A 1,096-nucleotide genomic window follows, 5' to 3' on the forward strand; every position below is an offset into this window, starting at 1 on the left:
CCAGCCTGGTGACAGAGCAAAGCTACGTCTAAAAAAAAAAAAAAAAAAAACAAAACTCTAGGTCTCTCCCCACAGATGAGTGAAGCAGCCACAGTGTAACTGACAATGTACCTACCTGGTTTCCCTGTAATGTCCAACCTAAAGCTAGAATGCCTCATTACAATTTCTCCTGCAGATTTGTTTACATAATAGATGCTCCAACCAACTTTTTGGTTAGGAATATACTATCCTACCCATTCATCGCCTGCTTCTAAAGATTGGAGAAAGGGTCAAATGATTTCTTGAGATCCTTTCTAGTCCTATTTTTCAGAATCTAAGATGTTTTGTCGAAGCAGGCTGATTGTGTCATGGGCACCTTGTTTACATGTTGTTCACCTGAGAACTCTCAAGCACCTACATCTTGCTGGGCATTGACTGCACTGAGAGTGAGGGTACCATAGTGGGAATGAGCATTGGAGTTCCTACCTTTGGGACTGCCAGAAGAAAAAGGGCATTAGATCATTCTGGGGATTGGGGAAAGTTTCCTTGAAGAAGTGACTTTGGGGCTGAAATCTTAAGGAGGAGTAGAAATTACCTGAATGAGGCCAAGGAAGGAAAGTGGAAATCAGCTTTCTCCAGGCAAAGGATGCATCATGAACAAAGTTCCTGAGATGGGTGAGGGCAAGTTTCTTTAAGGAATTGAAAGAAGGCCAGTGTCTGACACCCTGGGAGTGAGGAGGGCCTGGTGCTGAAGGAGGCAATAAGTGTGGGCCGGGGCCCAGCTGCAGGGTCTGGATTAGTGCAAAACCCAAGAGCCTTTTCCCTGTGTCCTCTGCTCTTGTAGAGTCTTGTCACTTATATCATGAACAAATAAGACTGTACAATCTCACTTTGGAAACTCTCGAAGATTTAACTACCCCATAATACTCACAAACAATGTAGAATTATAGAAACCTAGGGTTTACAGTCTGAGCTGTTCAGATATCCAACTCCTGTTTTGCAATTAACACCCCACTTTAAGGCTTAACCATCTACTAATTTCAGAGCTGTAGCCAAAATGTCCTCCTCATGTGTACAACAGGTTAGCCTCTGAGTTAGGAACTTCACTGGCATGCAA

The 1,096-nt window shown here is 43.4% G+C and overlaps 1 annotated feature.

The window, feature by feature from the left end:
- Positions 673 to 885: a silencer, noted in NCBI's record as "fragment chr14:57228911-57229123 (GRCh37/hg19 assembly coordinates)". NCBI's record gives its function as "represses an EF-1alpha promoter that drives an FKBP-Casp9 reporter gene in an ReSE screen in K562 erythroleukemia cells {active_cell/tissue: K562}" and the evidence as "EXISTENCE:reporter gene assay evidence [ECO:0000049][PMID:32094911]".

Source organism: Homo sapiens, chromosome 14, assembly GCF_000001405.40.
Source record: "Homo sapiens chromosome 14, GRCh38.p14 Primary Assembly".
Taxonomy (NCBI): Eukaryota; Metazoa; Chordata; class Mammalia; order Primates; family Hominidae; genus Homo; species Homo sapiens.